The 21,555-nt window shown below is 49.1% G+C and overlaps 1 pseudogene, besides 3 other annotated features; it reads right to left on the reverse strand.

Annotated features, from left to right (window-relative positions):
• Positions 2,519-4,280, reverse strand: KRT8P7 (keratin 8 pseudogene 7; annotated as a pseudogene).
• Positions 14,030-14,553: an enhancer, noted in NCBI's record as "NANOG hESC enhancer chr11:119484842-119485365 (GRCh37/hg19 assembly coordinates)". NCBI's record gives its function as "activates a minimal SCP1, AML or CMV promoter by ChIP-STARR-seq in primed H9 embryonic stem cells {active_cell/tissue: H9 hESC(primed)}" and the evidence as "EXISTENCE:reporter gene assay evidence [ECO:0000049][PMID:30033119]".
• Positions 16,029-16,618: an enhancer, noted in NCBI's record as "H3K4me1 hESC enhancer chr11:119486841-119487430 (GRCh37/hg19 assembly coordinates)". NCBI's record gives its function as "activates a minimal SCP1, AML or CMV promoter by ChIP-STARR-seq in primed H9 embryonic stem cells {active_cell/tissue: H9 hESC(primed)}" and the evidence as "EXISTENCE:reporter gene assay evidence [ECO:0000049][PMID:30033119]".
• Positions 17,799-18,386: an enhancer, noted in NCBI's record as "H3K4me1 hESC enhancer chr11:119488611-119489198 (GRCh37/hg19 assembly coordinates)". NCBI's record gives its function as "activates a minimal SCP1, AML or CMV promoter by ChIP-STARR-seq in naive H9 embryonic stem cells {active_cell/tissue: H9 hESC(naive)}" and the evidence as "EXISTENCE:reporter gene assay evidence [ECO:0000049][PMID:30033119]".

A 21,555-nucleotide genomic window follows, 5' to 3' on the forward strand; every position in this document is an offset into this window, starting at 1 on the left:
TGTAGTGGTGCCTGGGCATGAGTGACAGTGCATGGCTGCAGGTCTGTTTATAGCCTGTGTGTGCTGGGAAAAGACATCAGAAGTCCTTGCCATTCCCCCATCCCACCCAAGCCCTCAGAGCCTGCTCCCATTTGGGTCTAGAGCAGCATGTTCGAGAGAGATGTGAACATCCTTTCAGCTGCCTGTAGCCGGTCTGGGGAACAGTGACAAGGAAATGTGCTTGTTTATACCCGAATACATTAATAAACCATAAAATTTACATGTGTGTTGCGGGGAGGATGGGAACAGGCAGCATTCAACCTGCAGGACATGCAGATATTAAACTCAATGTGAAAGTTAATTTGTAAGCCCAGAGAGTGAGTCGTGCTGGAGACAAGACTCCCAGGCCCCTGAGAGATCTGGGGCACCATTTCCTTTTTCGCTTCTCTCTTCCTTGCATGGCTTTTAGCAGAGCTTTGGAGTAACATTAATTTATCTAATGCGTGCACGCCATAAGTTACTTTTTTAATTATTATGATCAAAATATTGCTTAAAATTGATGCCAGCTGCATGTGTTTCTGTCAGAGTTCATAATTGCAATTGTAAATTGGGGAGCAGCTCGGTTCCAGGAGCCTCCCTGAGTAACGGCCCCAATACCATTACCGAGAGGTGGATAAAAATAAAACTGCAGATCGTGCGGCAAAAATACACCAGTGCGAGTTAAAAGGATAATTAGTGGAGCAGAAAGGGAAGCGGGACTCTGTCTGCTCTGTGGCCCACGGGGGTGAGGACTGTGCCGGAGGCTGGCCCCAGGCTGGGCTAGGGCTGGGCGGCAGAAAGGCTCTTAGGGAAGGACCCAAGCAGGTCTCTGCACCTCAGTTTCTCCTTCTGTAAAATGGAAATAGGAACACCCAGTGGCTCCAACCAGGTGATGCATGTGAAAGTTTTCCAGAAACCCACGAGTTCCCTATCTAAGTAAAGGGATTATTCATGGGCTAGGGAGACAGTGCTTTTTTCATCTTCCCCATCAGGAATGGTTTAGGCTGACTTTGACTTTCAAAGGAAACTGCAGGTCTAGGACCAGAAGGCTGCCTTAGAGTGCAATGGTAAGGAGCACAAGCCTTAGAATTCTTTTATTCATCCATGCATTCACTTGACAATATTTATTGTGCACCCTCTATGTTCCAGGACCTATCCAGGCATTAGGGATAGAGCAGTGAACAAAACAGAGATCCCTGCCCTGCAGAGCTCACATTCTAGCAACGGGGCCAATAAGCAATGAAGATAGTAAATAAACTGGGTAATACAGAAGTGAATTGTATGGCACACTACAAGATTACAAGTGGACACATTGTATGACTTTAGACAACTTACTTAACCCAGCACTGCTGAACCTTTTTCACATAGTGGCTCATGCCATCATCATCTTAGTGACAATGCAACCTACTAACAACCCATGTGATTATCATAGTGGTAATAGTAAGAACGATCGCTTATAAGGCATCAACTGGGTGCCAGACACTGTTCTAAGGACCTGCCATATAAGCGATTGATGATGATGGCATGGGCAAGGCTATCTTTCTTGAACCTTCACGCTATGCCATTAACCCTCACAAGGAATCGATGAGGCAAGGAAGTGATCATATACTGTAGGGCTGGTGGGGTAGACCCATGGAGCTGCCGTTCTGCAGCTGAGCAGAATGAATTTCCATATCAGAGAAATGGGAACAATAACAGTGCTGAGCTCCCAAGGGTTGAGAAAATGCCTGGGAAGTGCTCAGCACAGTGCATGGCACAGCATGAAAATTCAAGAAAGATAAGCTTGTTTTTGTTACTAACCAGTAAGCCCTGAGAAACGGGAGAGTCATGAAGCTGGTTAGGGGCATAGAGGGGAGCTCATTAACCTATCAGTGAACCTGGTTACCTGCAGAGCTGATACGTCACCTAAGGGACCAAGTGGAGGCCACTGAGGGTAGATGGCCTGTGAGAGGCGATTTCAGTGGGGAAGGGTTCTTGTTCCTGGCTGGTGTCAAACAAAGAGCAAATCAGGACTTAGGTGAAAGAGGTGAGAGAGACTATGTGAAGACAATTGCAATAAGAGGGGAGGGTTACTGCAATAGGGAAAACACAGATGTCTCAAGGTCAGACAGAACGGGCTTTTAAAAAAACAGGGAGGCTATTATTACTATTATTGTTGTTGTTGTTGCTTGTTTGTTTGTTTTTGAAACAGGGTCTTGCTCTGTCGCCCAGGCTGGAGTGCAGTGGCACAATCTCAGCTCACTGCAACCTCTGCCTCCCAGGTTCAAGTGATTCTTGTGCCTCAGCCTCTCCCTCCTGAGTAGCTGGGGCTACAGGTGCACACCACCACACCTGGCTCATTTTTGTATTTTTTGTAGAGATGGGGTTTCGCTATATTGCTCAGCCTGGTCTTAAACTCCTGGCCTCAAATGATCGCTTGCTTTGGCCTCCCAAAGTTTTGGGATTACAAGCATGAGCCACTGCACCCAGCCTATTATTATTATTATTATTACATTACTCTTTGGCGGAGCTAGCTGAGGTTATTTTGGACCAAAAAGAAAAAAAACAATTGAATTGCTTTGTAGCTGGAGGCATGGGCAACGGGGGTCCCCAGGCAGTAAACTCCCCAACGGGTGGGCTGAGGGCTAGGGCTGAGCCTCAGGTGGGTCTCCTGTTCCCTGTGCTCCCCAGCACAGCAGCCTCCCTCGTGGGCTCTGGGGCAGCCGCAGGAGGGGCAGGCTGGGAGGGGCTGCCGTGGCTGTTCACTTGGGCAGGACATCAGAGGACTCCAGCTTCCCATCGCGGGTCTTGATCTTCTTCACAACCACAGCCCTGGTGGAGCCGGTGCTGCTGAAGGAGCTGGAGCCCGCCCCAGAGCCAAAGCTGGAGCCCAGGCTGTAGCTGAGGCCGGGGCTTGTGAGGCCCCCAAAGGCTTAGCTCAGACCACCTGCATAGCTGCTGGTGGTCTTCGTATGGATGCTCATGTTCAGCATCCCAGACTCCAGCCGGCTCTCGTCGCCCTCCAGCAGCTTCCTGTAGGTGGCGATCTGGATGTCCAGGGCCAGCTTCACGTTCATCAGCTCCTGGTACTCACGCAGCGGCCGCGCCATGTCCTGCTTGGCCCGCTCCTGGGCGGCCTCCAGCTCCGACAGCTCGGCGTTGGCATCCTTAACGGCCAGCTCCCCACGCTGCTGGGCATCTGCTATGGCGGCCTCCAGGGAAGTCCTCTGGCCCTTGAGACCCTCAGCCTCAGCCTGGAGTCGGCTGATGTTCCGGTTCATCTCGGAGATCTCAGTCTTTGTGCGCCGCAGGTCATTCCCGTGCTTCCCAACCAGCGTCTGCAGTTCCTCATACTTGATCTGGTACATGCTCTCAGCCTCAGCCTGGCTGTGGTTGGTGATCTCCTCGTACTGCACCTTGACCTCAGCGATGATGCTGTCCATGTCCAGGGAGGGCTGTTGTCCATGGACAGCACCGCAGATGTGTCTGAGATCTGGCACTGCAGCTCCCGGATCTCCTCTTCATACAGCTGCCTGAGGAAGTTGATCTCATCAGTCAGTCCTTCCAGGCGAGACCCCAGCTCTACCTTGTTCATGTAAGCTTCGTCCACCTCCTTCTTGATGAGGACAAATTCATTCTCCATCTCTGTAAGCTTATGGATCTCATCCTCATACTTGTTCTTGAAGTCCTCCACCAGCCCCTGCATGTTGCCAAGCTCCACCTCCAGCTTCAGCTTCTCCTGGCCCAGAGTCTCCAGCTGCTGCGTAAGGTTGTTGATGTAGCTCCCGAACATGTTGTCCATGTTGCTCTGAGCCATCTTCTGCTGCTGCAGGAGGCTCCACTTGGTCTCCAGCATCTTGTTCTGCTGCTCTAGGAACCGTATCTTGTCTGTGAAGGAGGCAAACTTGTTGTTGAGGGTCTTGATCTGCTCCTTCTCCTGGGTGCGCACAGCCTGGATATTGGGGTCCACCTCCAGGTTAAGGGGGCTCAGCAGGCTCTGGTTGACCGTGACAGTGGTGATGCCTCCTATGCCGCTGGCCCCACCATAGCCTCTGCCCAGGCCACCCCGGAAGCTGCTGCTGCCCACTCAGGAGAAGCTCGAGGAGCTGATGCGGGCACTGGGCCCACTGGTGTAGAAGTGGCTGCTGAAGGCCCGGGGTTCAGAGGTGGACACCTTGTAGGACTTCTGAGTCACCCTGATGGACATGGTGGAGGCAGGAGTGGAGGCAGGTGGGCTGAACCAGGTGGAGATTCCAGAAGGAGCGGAGAAGCTGCTTCTTGGTCTATTATTTTTAATAAATAAGGCTAAAAGGAGCCAGGTGCGGGGAGTGGGGCCAGCAGGTGGCCTGGCTGGCAGTTGATGCAGGAATGTTTGCCCCTGCATCCTGAGAGGGGGCGTTGAGAAGGGTGTCCTGAGTTCCTATGCTGGCTCAGGCTGAGGGTGGGGCAAAGTTCAGGGCAGAGATGCCTGACTCAAGTGTGGTCGGGTCAAGCTGGCGGCATTTTGTCTAGATTGGCTGCTGGTTTGGCTCATCAGTTATGAGACAAAGGATGGGACTTAGGAGTGTCTGTGCCTGGCCTTCTCACACCTAAGGAAGGAATCTTGGGGAAGGGGGCTTCTTGGCAGTGAGCCTTTTCCTAGAACACAAAAGGGTGGGGAGTTTCTTGACCATCGGGCACAGGGCTCAGGATGCATTTAGCATTGTCACTGGCCACTGCAGCCTGGGGTGGAATGGAACAGCAATTTAGTCCCACCTTGGAAATGGGAAGGCAGGGATGGGGGAAGCTTTAGAAGCTGGTCCTGGCTAGAAAGAGGTGGCATGTGGTAAGAGGAGGCAATGGTGCTGGGCAGTTCACCGCTTGCTTGACCTCCCTGTGCTCCCCACCTGTGGCCCAGGGAGACACTGGGGGCTGGGCCACTCCCTGGTCTACGCCCTGGACCAGGAGAGGCAGAGCCCTATCCCTCTGGGTGGGAGCAGAGGCTGGAGGTGGGAGCCCAGGAGCCTGGGCCCTGCTCTCTCCCACCAAGTTTAGAGGCTGCTGCATGTCTGACCTCTGCCCGGTAGGGACAAGAATTTTCTTTAGCCTCTTCCCTCTCAAGCCTTCTTTCCAACCATCCTATGGGAAGATGTGCAGGAGCTGGCCGTGGTTACAGAGTGCCCTGAAGCTGGCGGGGGCCTGGAGGCCGGACTGAGAGGCATCCATTTTGTCTAGAGCCTCTCACTGTCACCCTCCCACTGTTCTTGCTGTGCCAGCCATGGGCTGTTTGACTGGAGCAAAGGATGCCTCCCCACAGGGAGAGGGCAGGAGAGGAGCTCAGCCTCTGCGCTTTCTCCAGGCTCTGCTCTCCAGCCTGAGCCAGTCCTGCGGCACCCCCCAGCCACCTCTGGCCTCCCGGGCTGCCGACGTACCACCCGCTTGTCTTCCCGTCGCTCAGGGTGATTCCCTAATGACTATAATCGGGGTGTGCGCGGAGAGGTGAGGGAGGGACAGCGAGTGCTTCCCTAGACAGCCCATCCATTAGTGGGGCAGTGGCCTGTCACAACTGTCCAGAGGTAGATGAGCCCGGACCAGGCCAGAGAGGCCTGGGGAGGCAGACCAAGAACCCCTGTCTCCATCCCTTCTTCCCCTTCCCTGTTCCTTGGCCTTCTGCTTAGGAACTCTGCTCTAATTTATAAATGGTTTGACAACTTTAGGCTAGGCTCTGTAATTAAAAATAAAGAAGAAGACAGGCAGCATTGTCTCCTAACGATGCCTTTAATTGGTGGAGTTAATTTTAACGGGGCCTAGTTCAGTGCCTTGGAGGAGGCAATTCCAGAATTGGGGCTCTTGCTGGCATCCCCTGAAAGGCTCGCCCAGCCCAGCCCATTTACCTCATCAGCCAGGGGCTCCTCAGGCGGCGGGGGCAGGATCTTTATTTATTTATTTTTATCTCCAGTGCTGGGCACACAGTAAGTAGAAGAAGAGGTCTGTGGTGAGGAAGACCCAGAGCATCTGGAGCTTCCAGCCAGTCAGGAGGATTGCCTGAGGCCAGAAGTTTGAGACCAGCCTGTGCAACATAGTGAGACCCCGCATCTCTACCACAAACAAAAAACAAAAAACAAAAAAACAAAACTTAGCGAGGGGTGGTGGTGTGCACTTGTAGTCTCAGCCACTCAGGAGGCTGAAGAGGGAGGATCGCTTGAGCTCAGGAGAACCAGGCTGCAGTGAGCTGTGATGGTACCACTGCACTCCAGCCTGGGCAAGAGAGCAAGACCGTGTCCCCCACTCCAAAATAAAGTAATTTAAAAAATAAAAATAAAAAAGAAACACACTGGGATGGTGACTTGCAAGAAATAGAAAGAAAGCTTCCCAGACTGGCTCAAGTGACAAGGGAGACATTGCAAGGGCAAGGTGTTGGGGCTCTTGGGGATAGATACCCCAAGGAAGGAAGGGAACAACAGCTGATCCACGCAGGAGCCCGTATCAGGGAGGGAAACCCCTCCCTCTCCCTCTGAGACTTCCATAATTGAGTCTATGAAATAAACTGACAGCAGGCAGATTAACAGGAGAAAAGATAGATGTGTTTTTTGTGTGTACAGGAGCGTCACATGGAGGAAAACTGCATACCCCAAACCCAGCGAGATCTAGAAGCTGAGATGCATTCTTCATAGAGGAGGGAGAAGGGGGATGCAGGCAAGTTAGGGGAGAGTATACAAGGTTTGGAAAAATGAATGGGCCCTTAAGAGAATAAGCGACAGTCTAAGTCTGCCTGGGTGGGTGCCCCCTAGACCCCCAGTTTCCTCTCTCTCCTGTGATAGGAGCCAGTCTTCTCTGGTTGATGGATTCCTGGGGAGGGACTCACGACAATTGGCTTCTTTTTGGAGGACCTGTCTTTAGGCAGTTACAGGGAGTTCAGAGAGAGAGAGAGAGCCCCTGACCTCATTTACTGTACCCCAAGTGCTCTCAGTTTGAGGTAATCAGCATACCAGAGCTGAAGAGCTGAATATTTTGGGGTGACATTTCCTGAACTTTTTTTTTTTTTCAGAAACCAGGGAAGCCAGAAACCCAACCTACTTTCTCCATCTCTCAAGGCCTCCCCAGTAGCCAAGACTTCTCTGTCTCAAGGGTCTCACATCCCTTGGGGACCAGCCTCCCCAGAGGTAAGGGACAGTTTTTCCCTTTTAACTTCAGCTCATGCTGAAATTAAATCCTTTCTTTAGTTCTTTTAGCGCTGCCAAAGACAGGCTGGTATTTTCAAATATAACTGTATCTGTTAAAAGCTAGAAAATAGAAATAGAAAATACAAATAGCAGAATCAGTTTTCCAAAGGGCAGATTCTGAGTGCTAGGAATCCTGGAAGAAGTAGAAACTCTGTTTTCTAAATTCCAAGCTACACAATAACTTTTCTCTAACCTTCCAAGAGCTGGGACAATTCTACCCCTGCCCCCATGAGATAGATGCCTCAGGTGGAATCTATAGAAGCAGAATTGCCCCAATCTTTTTGAGGAACCCCTTTGAGAATAGAGCCTGGCACATAGCAGGTGCTCAGTAAATATATGGCATCCTATTTTCCATCAAGTGGAACAGTTTAGCAGGATATTTATTCCCTCCTGGGAGGAATAAGAAAGACCCCCCAAAAACAAACCCTTCTGTAAATTAAACCTCTTGGATCTAAGCCTTCCCTCATCCCCATTACCTAAGCTTCATCCCTAAATCTTGCCAGTTTCATAAGAGGCTGGATAATGTTTTTGAAATAGTAAACCTCCGTGTTCCTATTGCCTGGTAGCCCTGCACCCACTGAGTCAATGACATCGATGCCTCTGGGGAGGGCGGCTACAGCCTAGAACAAAGAAGTCAATTGAGTTGCTGAATGGATTTTTTTTTTAACTCGAGGCAGATGCAGATACAATAGTCTATGGGCAAAGCGATTTTGATTTGCAAGAGCTAGAGCTTAAGAGAGAAACAGTTTAGCTTTAAATTCCAAGAAGGCTTAGTTTAAACTCAGGACTGATCATTGAATTTCTGAAAGTTAACCATAGAGTGTCTGCAGATGTAGTAGGTGTTTAAGTGTTGATTAAATCAACCTTTCTCCACGTGCAAAAATCCATCTATGTGACTAAACTTTTATTCTCATGCAATGCTTTAATGAGTAGTAGTGGTTAACATTGTGATTACCTTGTGCTACGTACTGTGCTAAGGGTTAGATAACTCATTTAATATTCTCAACAACCTCATAGAAATGGTAGCACGATTATTCCTACGCTCAGATGAGCTCATGTCGATTGCCTGCTACCCAGCTATAACAATGCCTCTCTTTCAATCAGTTCTCTCACTTCTGTTTCCATTGCTCCTTCTCCATCCAGGTTCTTGTGCGTGCGCTTCTCTCTGCTGGGAAGATCCATTGACACCTTGTCTCTTTGGAGAAATCAGACCCCCTTGTTCTGAGGCTTCCAGAGACAAGTAATCATATCCTTTTCCATGCCCCAGCTAAACCTGTGCACACACAGGTTTTCTTTTTGCACTTTATATACAGAACATTACTGTAATTATTTGTGTACATTGGTCTTATTGTTTGCTCTGACAGTAGTGGGGTTTTCTCCGTATCTTTAGAATCTAGCAAATGCTCGGCACGTAGTAGGGACCAATGATTATTAAATAAGTGACTAAATGATGGATGAATGGAGGAAAATAGTTAACCACAGAGCAGAGACCTGAGGGTAGTTGCCCCCCCACGCAGGAAAGGCTTCCTGGGAAATTGGGGAGCCCAAGGAGACAGGCAGAACCATTGTTTGGAAGGAGCTGTTGGGTCTGGTCTCCACCTCTGCCTCCTTTTCTTTTCACTTAGAGGTCAGAACTCCAGGGGGTGATAGAGACCACAGGTGCGTCTGCTCAGCCCCAGGCAGTTTATGCCCTGCTTCCTTCTGGAACTCTCATAATATCCTGCACCAGCAGGGAACAGACAAGCGGAGCAGAAGGTGCCTTTAGGCAGTGCGATGCCCTGAGATCCTTGCAGCTGATCCTTCCCCATAACTCCCTTCAGGTTCCTGGCCTGTGGCTGGTACCAAGGAAATCTGGAGTGGCCTCCAATCTGAGAGATGAGGACTAGGGGGACAAGTCAGGGCTAGCAGGAAGGGAGCAGCCCAGCAATCAAGATAAATAATATTTAAATGCAATACTTAAAATTGGCAAAGTATGGCTCATGGGATTTCTGCCTAGTTTTATTTTTAATTCTTTTATTTATTTATTTATTTACTTATTTATTTTTTGAGACAAGGTCTCAGTGTTGCCTAGGCTGGTCTCGAATTCCAGGGCTCAAACAATCCTCCTGCCTCAGCCTCCTGAGTAGCTGAGACTACAGGCGTGTGCCACAGTGCCCAGCTGTTGCCTGTTTTTTTTTTTTCTGGTTTTGTTTTGTTTTGTTTTTGTTTTTGTTTTTGAGATGGAGTCTTGCACTGTCGCCCAAGCTGGAGTGCAGTGGTGCGATCTCAGCTCGCCGCAACCTCTGCATCCTGGGTTCAAATGATTCTCCTGCCTCAGCCTCCCCCGTAGCTGGGACTACAGGTGCCTGCCACCTTTTTGTATTTTTTAGTGGAGACAGGGTTTCACCATATTGGCCAGGCTGGTCTTGTGTTGTGATCAACTTGTGTTGTGAACAACTCCTGACCTTGTGTTGTGATCCACCCAACTCAGCCTCCCAAAATGCTGGGATTACAGGCATGAGCCAATGTGCCCGGCCTGCCTGGTTTTATGAATAAAATTTTATTGGAACTAGGGCCAAGATTAGAGTGAGGTGAATGAGACGGGATCATCCATGTGCAGGGTTGGATCCGCCCTCTAAAATTTGATATATTGTTCTCATTTAAAAAAAATTTTTTTAATTTATTTATTTAGAGACAGGGGTTTGCTCTGTTGCTGGGGCTGGAGTGCAGTGGTGTGATTATGGCTCACTGCAGCCTTGAAATCTTGGGCTCAAACGATCCTCTTGCCTCAGCCTCCCAAGTAGCTGGGAGTATAGGCACGTGCCACCATGTGTGGCTAATTTTTTAAAATTTTTGTAGAGATGGAGTCTTGCTATGTTGCCCAGGCTGGTCTTGAACGTCTGGGCTCAAGCAGTCTCACTGGCTCAACCTCCCAAAGTGCTGTGATTACAGGTGTGAGCCACCACACCCAGCCCAATTGCTGAGTTCTGGGGCTATACCTTACATTCTGTGCCTGCGGTGAGTGCCTTGGTTTCCTTGCCCCAGTCTTGGCCTAGGAGGTGGGACCTGTGTCAGAGGAGCTGGGGGAGTGGTAAGGGCTGCTGCCTCTATAAGATGCCTTTGCTTTTTGACAAGAGCACAGGCTGGATTTCAGTTTCTTTCACCATCTCAGCAGCCCCCTCTGTACAGAGTACAGTCTGCACAACTTTACGGGGTGGCCATGTCTGGAGAACAGACTACAGATTAGTCCACCCACAGGTAGTCCACTGCAGAGGCAGATGCACCACGAACAGAAACCAATGCCCAAGACCATTGAGGACAAGCTACCCTTCAGCTTCCCTTCTGGGGAGGCAGGGGGAGCCCCTTGGCTGGGTATGGTGCAATCTCAGCTCACTGCAACCTCCACCTCCCAGGTTCAAGTGATTCTCCTGCCTCAGCCTCCCAAGTAGCTGGGATTACAGGTGTGCATCATGCCTGGCTGATTTTTGTATTTTTAGTAGAGACAGGGTTACATCATGTTGGTCAGGCTGGTTTCGAACTCCTGGCCTCAAGCAATCCACCTGCATGGGCCTCCTAAAGCGCTGGGATTACAGGTGTGAGCCACTGCCCCTGGCCAGTGATTTGTCTTTTAACTGCTGAGTTATTAGACTTCTTTATATATTTTGTATACAAGAATGTTATCAATGGCTTCCTTTTGTATAGAGGATGCATTTCAGTCCCTTCAGCTGGCCTGCAAGTTTCTTCCAGATCTAACCTGATTTCCTTTACTGCTGGCTTTATCTCCTGCTACTCCCTTCCTTTTACTGATAACGCTTTTTCACTTTTCTGTCCAGAAAATGCTTTCTCTCACAACTGGCCTTTTGTAGATGCCATTCCAAGAACATTATTGTCCCTTCTTGCCTGGCTAAAATCCACTCACTCTCCACTTAAGGTTCTTCTCTGTGGGCTAAAAGGATGGTGCAGGCCGGCCATGGTGGCGCAGGCCTGGAATCCCAGCACTTTGGGAGGCCGAGGTGGGAGGATGGCTTGATCCCAGGAGTTTGAGACCAGCCTGGGCAACATAGTGAGACACTCTCCCAAAAAGGTTAAAAAAAATTAAATAAATATTAAATTAAAAAATAAAAAGATGATGCAGCAGGCAAGCTCCATGCCTGAGAGCTGGTCTACGTTCAGGGCCAGCTGCTGAGGGCACGTGTGGATTCTGGCCCTGTGATGCTGACAGTGAGGTGGTGGAAAGCGATTGTAACACTGTCCCTGTGATCCAAGGTGAGCAGTGAATCCCTCGAACTTAGAGGAGATTTTAAAGGTTATTTAGCCCACCGTCCTGCCCCGGAAGTTGGAGCATTTCTGCATCACCCCCATCTAGCCTGTCCTGTCTCTGGATTCCACCACGGACAGCTGGGGATACTCAACATGGCCTTTGGGGAATGGGGGTGGTGTGTTTACCTGCAGGCAGGCGGCCCTGGGCTTCAATCCTGGCTCCACCCTCAGCCATAGAATCTAGGGCAGGTCTCTTTAGTTTTTCAATCTGCAGAATGGGCCTAGGTAGTAACACCTGCCTCGTGGGGCTGTTATTTGGCATTGGGCAGGCACTCAGCAGTGTTGGTTTCCTTTCCCTCCTATTAGAAAACTCGTCCTCAGATTGAGCCTAAATCTGTTTTCCTGTGAATTCTAAACATTGGTCTTGGAGCCACAGGGGGCACATCTCTCTCAGTCCCCTGTCTGTTCCATGTTTGGAGTTTGTCCCCTTAAAAGCCTCTCTTCTGCAAACTCAACATCTTCACCTCCCTCAGCAGCTCTGCCCAGTCACCCATGCTGAGGTGAGCCTCACCCAGACGCCCCTGAGAGGCAAATCCATTCCACAGACAATGGCTGCTCTATTGATATGGTTAGGCTTTGTATCCCCACCCAGATATCATCTTGAATTATAATCCCTATAATCCCCATAATCTCTTATATGTCAAGGGAGAGACAAGGTGGAGGTAATTGGATCATGAGGGCGGCTCCCCCTATGCCGTTTTCACAATGAGTTCTCACGAGATCTGATGGTTTTATAAGTGTTTGGTAGTTGCATCTGTGTTCATTCTCCTTCCTGCTGCCTTGTGAAGAAGGTGCTTGCTTCCCCTTCTCCTTCCACCATGATTGTAAGTTTCCTGAGGCCTCCCCAGCCACACTGAACTGTGAGTCAATTAAGCCTCTTTTCTTTATAAATTACCCAGTCTCAGGCAGTTCTTTATAGCGTGTGAAAACGGACTAATACTGTTATCCATGGCGTTAGGTCATTTCTGTCAGGATGGGAGCCATTTCTGATTCACTACATGGGGTAGAGCTGTTTGCACTTGCTAAGTGTGTAATAAATATGTGTTGACTGAGCCCGTCTCCCTTGGTCAGAGGGAGTACTCTTGCCCCAAGTCTTCTTTCCCTTCCTCAGCTACAATTTGAGGCCAGGGAGTGAGGCAGGCAGTGTATTGTAAGACCTTCCATTAATTCACTCAAAGCATTTACCAAGCACCAGGCTAGGGGCTCCGATGAGAACCCTGTGAATTTCCTAGGGCTGCAGTAACAAATTACCACAAACGGCATGGCTTAAAGCAACAGACATTTCTTCTCTCGCAGCTCTGAAGGCTGGAAGCCCAGAATCAAGGTGACGGCAGAGTCATGCTCCCTCTGAGGTTCGAGAAAAGAATCTGTCCCATACCTCTCTCCCAGCTTCTGATGGCTTCTGGCAGTCCCTGGCATGCCTAGGCTTGTAGAGCCTCACTCCAATCTGTCTCTGTCTTCACATGACATTCTCCCGTGTGCTGCTAAGTCCACATTTCCCTCTTAAAAGGATGCCAGTTGCGTTGGAGTGAGGGTCCACTCTAATCCAGTGTGAACTCATCTTAACCCTGATCATATCTGCAAAGACACTATTTCCAAATTAAAGTCACATTCCCAGGTTCTAGATGGACATGCATTTTGCAGGGATAGCAGTCAACAGCATGGGAAACAATGCTTGCTCTCAAGGAGCCCATTGTCTCATGGAAGGAGGAGCAGACCTGTTAACATAGAGGAGCGATGTGGTGATTCCCGGAGGCACGCTGGAGCAGAGAGAGAGCATGTGTGCTGGGAAGACCCCTGAACCAATCTCTGAGGGGACAGGAGCTGGTCAGAAGAAGGGTGTGAGTAAAGGTGGGAGAAATGGCCTGGGGCATGCAGAGAACTCCCAGCAGCTGGTGAGGCTAGAGCCCAAAGAAGGGATCAGGGAGTGATGAAGACAAGGCTGGGAGGTGAGCAGGGGGCAGTTGTGGAACACCTTGGACACCACGGGCCTTTATCTTACAGGCAGCCAATCAGAAGCCAATGAAATACTTTACGTAGGAAAATGATAAGGCTAAATGTATCTTGAAAGCTGACTCTGGCATCCATGTGGGATGGGTTAAGGGGTGAAACTGGAGGCCAGCGAACTAGTTGGATGCTGTTGCTAGTGCAGGCTAGAGATGTGAGGCTGTCAGCGGCTGATGGGGGTCTTGGCCAGTTCGTGCCCACTGTTATTCCAGAGATAAACACTGTGGACTTGCATCACAAACACCATTCTGCAGGTAGAACTTGACCTTCATAAAAGGAAGACAGAAAAAGACATCAGAAATTGTTTTTTAAGAACAAATGTTGGATTTTCAAGGGATCTGAAGTCAAGGTTGAATTTTCCAATGAGCTAGCTGGACTCTTCTTGGCATTTAGACATCCCAGGGTTTGCTTTCCATTGATTTTCCAGTGGGAACCTCCTTCTCATGCGTGATCTTCCTCCTACACTCTCGGCCCCTTGTCAGGTGCAGTTTCTGGTGAGGTCTTAAATTTTTCAATGGTGCCCAGCTAGCTGGTGTAGAAGCCCTTAGGTCTGGGCAGCCTGGGGATGCCCTTTCCTGTAAGACTGTGTCAGGCACGCTCTTTCCTGGGCTAAGATCTTCATGGGCCAATGCCAATGTGAGTGGCAAGGGAGTCCACGCACTGTAGGGCTCTCCCTCCCAGCCCATCTGTGCCCTTGCATGGCTGTTCCGAGTCACAGGCCCCCTCCATTTAGGACATTGTAATGCGGCCTTCTTTCTTTACTCTAGACAAAGGAGATACTGCATAGGCAGTTGTAAGTGTGAGTCTGGGGTGTCAGTATCACTGTGGGTGGAGTTGGTTGGCAGTTGAAAGGCCTCAGGCCCAAGCTGTGGGACCACCCACTGTCTGATGGAAGTGAGTGATGAAAGAAGCATGACAAAATGCAACCCCAGAGAGGTGGGATTGGGGGTGGATGGGGGAGTGGACACTCCCAGCGGCATCCCAGACAGCTGTTTTCATTGATGCGTTCTATAGGGAAAAATTGTGAAAGACTTTGAAATGGACCAAAAAGATGATTGGGTGTCTTGTCTAGCATACTCTTCTGGGTTTTTTTCAGGCTTCATGGTCTTTGAGCTATTTTACAGCCCTGGAAGTTACAGAAAACTGGTAATAACACAACGAGGAAAAGGCATGTGAGGCCATAGCAAGAGGACACACAAGCCAGGAAGTGAGCCCCCATCAGACACCTGAACCTTGATCTTGGACTTCCAGTGTCCAGAACTGTGAGAAATAGATTTCCCTTGTTGAAGCCACCAGCCTATGGTGTTTTCTTATGGCAGTTGGAGCAGACCATGAGAGCTATATTTCAGGTTCTTTGAGATTTTCTTTTAACCAATTGTAATATCTTACTGGTTCCCCCATGAATTAATGGACTAAATACAATTTTTGACATAGGTTATTGGTATCAGAGTCACGATTTTGTCCTTAAGAAAAAGTTATTCTTTGACCATTCAATCATTCAGCAGAATGTTTGTTGATGCCGTCCCTGGCCCTGGCACTGTGCTGATGGCTGGAAATACAAAGATGAGTTCAACATAGTCCTTGTCCTCAAAGAGCTCCTTGTGTGGTGCAGAGGCGGGCAGGAGGCACACCAGTGAGCATCAGAGTGTCGGTGCTGAGGCTGCAGTTGGAGGAGGTCGCTTTTGGCAGGGATTCGGGGCAGGGCTGGGAAAAGCATGAGTTTTGGAGTCAGACAGGCCTAGCTCTAAGTCCTCAATTCACCACTTCAAAGCTTTGTGGCTTCAGATACATTCATTTTCTTATCTGTGAAGTAAGGATAGTATTTTCATCTTAAGGGTTTATGAGAAGTAAATGAGGTATTGTGTGCAAAGAGCTTAGCCCAGTGCCTGGCATATACTAAATGCTCAACAAATGCTAGTCTCAGCCTTCTGGGCTATGATTTCAGAGGTGCAAGGAAGGCCCCTGATTCCTTCCTCTGCCTGCTAGGAGACACCTGAAATTCCTTTAGGAGAGGAAAAACCTTTCATTACACAGCTAGCAAAGCACTCCCAGTATAAACAGCTTGGGACAGGAAGTGTGGTGACTCAACACACGTTAATATGTAATTTGCTGATGCCAGGGCTTCCGCTTAGAGAAAGTTTTCATAAGCATAACCCCTTGCCTGTGAGTGCCTCTGAAAGCACTTTCACATCTCTGACCTCATGTAATCCCCCCAGCGCCTATCTGGGGAGGGCAGGTCCTGGAGGATCATCCTTACTCATTTTACCAAGGAGGGGACTTGGGCTTTGAGCCATGAAATAAATAGTCCATTCCAGGTTACTCAGCCATGATCCAGGAGCCAGGCCTCAGACCTCAGTCTCCAGACTCAAACAATGCACCCTTACCTCCAGTGGAGTGAAGAGGGGAGAGGAGTCACTCTAGAAGAGAACTTGGGGAACCTGAGCTTAAAGAAGCTGAGTCAACCCTGGGTGGAGGAAGCAGAGCCTCCCAGGATGGTGGGTTAAGGATCTGCTCTCTATAAGCTGTGGAATTCTTACCATGTTGGGCCTTGATTTCTTCTTTTCTAAAATGGTGGTAGTAATGCTTGTCTCACAGGGCTGCTGTACGGATAAAGAGGATAACACAAGCAGTGTCTAGCACAATGCTAGATGGAAGGCTTCAAGCCACACAAGAGCAGGGACAAATCTGACTTGCTCCCCATTGCATCCCAGCAATCGGTAAAGCACCAGGCACGTGGTAGGTGCTCCAGGAGTATTCAACAAAGGAATGGATCAGTGAGTGGCATGGGCTCAGTGCACGGCCACTGTTGTAGTCATTGTGTAGGAACAGGATCGCTGGTGGAACTCACCGAGCCTGGGGACGTGGAAGAGAGGCTGGGGGAGCCGGGTCTGCAGACACATTTCAGTGGCTGTGGGGAGGGCAGGCTCAAGGAAGAATTCAGTTTCTTTGGATATGAGGGCTTTGGGACACCTTCTGCTCTGAATGGAGGAGCCAGGAGCTGGGATACTCCATGTCCAGGCCAGGGGACAGGGTGACTTCAGGTAGAAGTTGTAGGCATGCAGGTAAGCCCCAGAGAGCATAAGGAGAGAGAAACCCAGGCCCATGCTAAACCAGCAGGGGCAGCCCATGTGGGTGGTGCAAGGACCAGACAAGCAGCCTCCAGGGGGTGGGCAGAGAGCTTCTCTGTGGCCCCTGTGCTGGGGTAGGGGGCATGGGTGGCCCAGAAGGACAGGATGCCACTGTATTTCCTGAGAACTGCTGCCCCAGCCCTTAGCTGTTCCTTCCACTAGAAGCCATTTTCACTCCTACTCTGACCCTCCTGAGACCATGGCTCACGGTCAGGCCCTGATCTTCTCGTGGATTTCTATCGATTTGGATGTTTTTGACAGAGCGTGTCTTTAGGAGAGGCTGGTGGGACCTTCTGCTCCTGAGCCGCGATCTCTGCCTCCACCTGAATCTTCACCTCTGCTCTGTACCTCCCCTCTTCACTCACAGCCACTGGCTCAACTCTCCCACTTAAAACAAAACAAACAAAACCCTCTCTCCCTTGGCCCCAGCTGTCTCTTCAGATCACGTCTTATCTTTTCTCCCCCAACTCGTATCTTGGGAGGATTAGCGTTCCTTGCTGTCTGATGTTCTCTCTCATTCACTTTTTTTTTTTTTTTTAAGCAAGTGGTCTTCCAGGTGTTTTTCCTCTGAGTGGCATCACCAGTGGTCTACAAAGTCACCAAGTCCCCTCTCCAATCCACCCCCTTACCACTTCTAAATCCAACTGCTGTTCTCAGGACGTTTCTGCCTCCCATGGCATTTGGCCATGTGGGCCGCTGCCTGCTTGGAAGTCCAGCCTCAGGTCCCAGGCGGAACCCCGCCGGTGCCTGTGGCTTTGGCCTTGGCTGGCTTCTTGCTTTCCTTCGCTGGTCGCCCGCCCCCTTTGCTGTGGGTGCTTCTCGAGTGGATCCCAGTCCTCACCTCCTCCCTCCACGCGTTCTCCCTGCGTGAGCTCATCCTCCCTGTGGCTTTAATTACCATCTGTAGGCTGCTGGCCGCTCCAGTGTGGGCTTGTCTCAGGAGAAACAGCCCAGCAGCTTAAGAGCATCTCCATCCCCACATGTGTGAACTTGAGCACGTTCTGAACACCCCTCCCGCCTTCCCGCATGGCCACTGTCTCAGTAAGCATCTCTCCAGTTGCTGGTCAGAAACCTGGACAGGACTCCTGATTCCTCCTTCTCTGTCAGCCCCCACACTCAGTCCTTCTGTTTGATTTGACCCAATCGCCCCTTAGGTTTTCCTCCTAATTTGCTTTCCAGTCCACCCGCTGATCTCCTGCCCGCCTCAGTGATGGCTTCCTCCCAGGCTCCCTGCCTCAGTTGCCCCGGCTCACTCCCATGGGCTCAGCAGGTCTTGGGCTCTGCCTCATGCCTTGGGCTTCTCTGTCTGTCTGTTCCCTCCCTCCAAGCTTTCCTCAAGCCTCACCTCTTTGAAAGCTCGTGTCACAGTTAAGAGGGATAGTCTGGAGCCCACAGACCTATTTCAAATCTAGATGTCAGCACTTAGCAGCTTTGTGATCTCAGCCTCAGCAAACTTCTTACCTGCTCTATGCCTCAGTCTCCTCTTATGTAAATGGCGATCCCTGCTTCTCATCGATTGCTGTGAGTCAAGTGTGTGTCTCTAGCTGCTTTTGTATTCTAGAGAAAGGCGTTCATTGCTGCCAGGGAGACAGGGATCTTTGTTCCGGAAAATGACCCATTGATTGTGTCAGATAAAGCTCTCTACCCACCAGAGTGAAACTGGGAAGGCCAAAGAATGGGGCTGAACTTCTCCAAAGACAAAAGCCATTTCAGCAGGAAGCAATGAGAACCCGGAAATGGCAGAGGGGGGTCAGCCACGGGATTGGAGTGCAGAGGCTGAAGACAGAACCCAGAAGATGTGACTGGTTCAGGAGGAACTGGCAAGAGCAAGAGGTCTGATTTTTAAATTTCGAGTCACTTGTTAGGCTTCAAGAAGGTCCCTCCTATTCCCCAACTTCTAGGAAAATTATCTTACAAGTTCTGCCATAGGTTAGTAACATTTTGGGAGAAAATTCAGGACGAGACAGATCCCATCTGCCACTTCTTCCAGGAAGCCTTCCTGGACTCCCCCTGTCTCCCAAGTCTGGTTTTGGTATCTCCTCTTCTGTAGGTCAACAAGAAGAAAAAAACAAACAAAAACAAAAAACAACCCAAAAAATTGCATAAACTCAAGAGTCAGAACAGGATTGAGAGAGAAGAGGAAATCAGAATGAGAGGAAATCATGAAAATGCCAGGTCCTGGCAATTCTTAGGCATCTTGGAGACTGTACGGCATGGAACTGTTTTTATCTGAATACTGAAAGTGACCCCAAAGCTTTAAAGGGACATCAAGAGATCATCTGTGTTACTGAGAATTAAATTAGATGATGTACATAGAGTTCTTAGCCCCAGCCCCAACACACAGGAAACTCAGAAATTTGGGAGTTACTTTTTTTTTTTTTTTTAACAAACATTATAATGTCCTATTTTATAGATAGCAAGGATATAACAATCTCATCAGAGGTGAGGTGGGCAGAGATCTACAGGAACAGAGGGAGCTTATCTCCTCTTAACTTCCCTGGGCACCCAGGCCCCCTAATGGGGACACAGCTGCTGGTGACACTGGCCAAACAAGGACAATCTGACCATATCTGGAAATGTCCACTTTTGTTTTTATTGTCAGCTACTATTATCATTTTTAATAGGACAGGGTCTCACTATGTTGCCCAGGCTGGTCTCGAACTCCTGGACTTAAGCAATCCTCCCGCCTCGGCCTCCCAAAGTGCTGGGACTGAGCCGCAGTCTGAGCCGCAGCGCCAAGCTCTATTATTTTTAACATCACTGTCCTTCCTCAGTGTCCCCAGAGTGCCTCTGCCTGTCCCCACTCATCTGTTGTTGAGTGTGGATCTTGGATTACTACTTTTCTACTTAGATGTAAGAAATCTGGCTGATTTTCACATGTGGTTTATAGAAATAGAATGATTTTTTTGGTTCCATCATGTATCCTGTCTTCCTCCCTCCAATTTCACTGCAAGCTCTGAGTTGGAACTCAAATGGCCAGTTCTCCTTAGGTCCCTTGTGCCTCATGCACAGCAACGGCTGCACCGATGTCTGTTGCTGTGGGTGTTAATTTCATCCCTGGATGGGTCCAGAGAGTCCACACCTGGGCAGGAGGCTCAGCCCGGAAGCCCCTGCTCTGTCTTTGCCTGTGTCTTCACTCAAGTCTCTTGGGACAGCCTGAGCTGCTGAGATGTGGTGGTGGAGAGGAAACAGAGATGGGGTCTTTGAGAAGAGAAGGACTAGCAGTGTGAAACTAAGTGGGTGGTCACAGGGTGTGGGGGTTGTATTTAATTAGTCACTAAGCCCTTTCATGAGATCTTGAGCCATGGTCCCTTGTTGAGGAAATGTGTGTACATGTGAACTACATGGAAAAGGACCTCAGGGTTGTCACATCCAACTCTGATCCATTGTAAGAATCTCCTTTTATACCTCTGACAGGTTTTATTCAGTCTTTACTTGAATGCTTCAAATGATGGAGAGTTCATTACCTTTAGGGAAGGAATTTTTGATTACCTAATTATTTTTATTTTTATTTATTTTTCCTTTTTAGAGACGGGTCTCACTCTCACCCAGGCATGAATGCAGTGGTGTGGTGATAGCTCACTGCAGCCTCGAACTCCCAGGCTCATGCGATCCTCCTGCCTCAGCCTTCTGTGTAGTTGGGATTACAGACAGGTGCCACCACACCTGGCTAATTACTTTTTTTTGGTAGAGACAGGGTCTCACTCTGTTGCCCAGGCTAGAGAACTTGATTTTAATTAAGTACTCACCCTCCTTCATAACTGATCCAAAGAGTTATAGTGAGCCCATTTCTCTTCCCCGTGGATAATTTAGGCGAGTGTATGAGCATGCGACACAATTCTAGCTAACGAGGTAGAGAGGAAGCCCAGTAGGGGCTTCTGGGAAAGGTTTCCTCTCTTTTAAAAAGAGATACAAAAAGGGCTGGCCTGTTCTTCTATTAGAAATTTGAGCAGATATGTGATGTCTGGAACTGTGGCAGCTATCTTATGACCATGAGGGGAACTAACCTGAAAGCCAAGAGGACAAATTAAGGCTAACAGAACAGAAATGTGTTAAAAAACAAAACAAAATAAACATGCAAGCAAGCAGGAAAACAAACTGGGGTCATTGATGTAATCACTGAACAGCTAATTCAGTGATTAGCTGGGGGTGCACCTACTATTTAAAGCAAACCTGAAAAGCTGTTCACTCATTTTTAACATGAGGTCAATGAAATAGTTTATATGAACTGGAACCAAACAGGAAATCTCTAATTCTAAATGTCAGTGGCCGAGTTTTGAGCCTAAATAATGAACTTTATATCCATCTGTGTTACACTTTATTTTTTGGTTTTGATCTAATCTTCCACCTTTTACAGACTTTTTGGATTTCTGTTTTAACTCTACAGAACATTCCTAGTCCCTCTCAACTCTCTCTCTTTTTTTTTTTTTTTTGAGACAGGGTCTCACTCTGTTGCCCAGGCTGGAGTGCACTGGTGTGATCTCGTCTCTCAGCTCACTGCAACCTCCGCCTCCCGGGTTCAAGCGATTCTCCTGCCTGAGCCTCCCTAGTAGCTGGGATTACAGGCACATGCCACCATGCCCGGCTAATTTTTGTATTTTTAGTAGAGATGGGGATTTCACCATGTTGGCCAGGCTGGTCTCAAACTCTTGACCTCAGGTGATCCTCCCGCTTCAGCCTTCCAAAGCGCTGAGATTACAGGCGTGAGCCACCGTGCCCAGCCTCAACTATCTCTCTTTCAGTTTTAGAGCTTCCGTGAGCATAATTTCTTCATTCAAGGAAATGATGAGTTGAAAAGAGCCAGGCCAAAGAGAGAGCCTGGCAACACCGCACACAGCACTGGGGGCCAGATACTTTGGGGTCACCTAGATGTATCACACAGCCCACATTTCTCTATCTTGTCTGCATTTGAACAAATGCCT

This window comes from Homo sapiens, chromosome 11 (genome assembly GCF_000001405.40).
Source record: "Homo sapiens chromosome 11, GRCh38.p14 Primary Assembly".
NCBI lineage: Eukaryota > Metazoa > Chordata > Mammalia > Primates > Hominidae > Homo > Homo sapiens.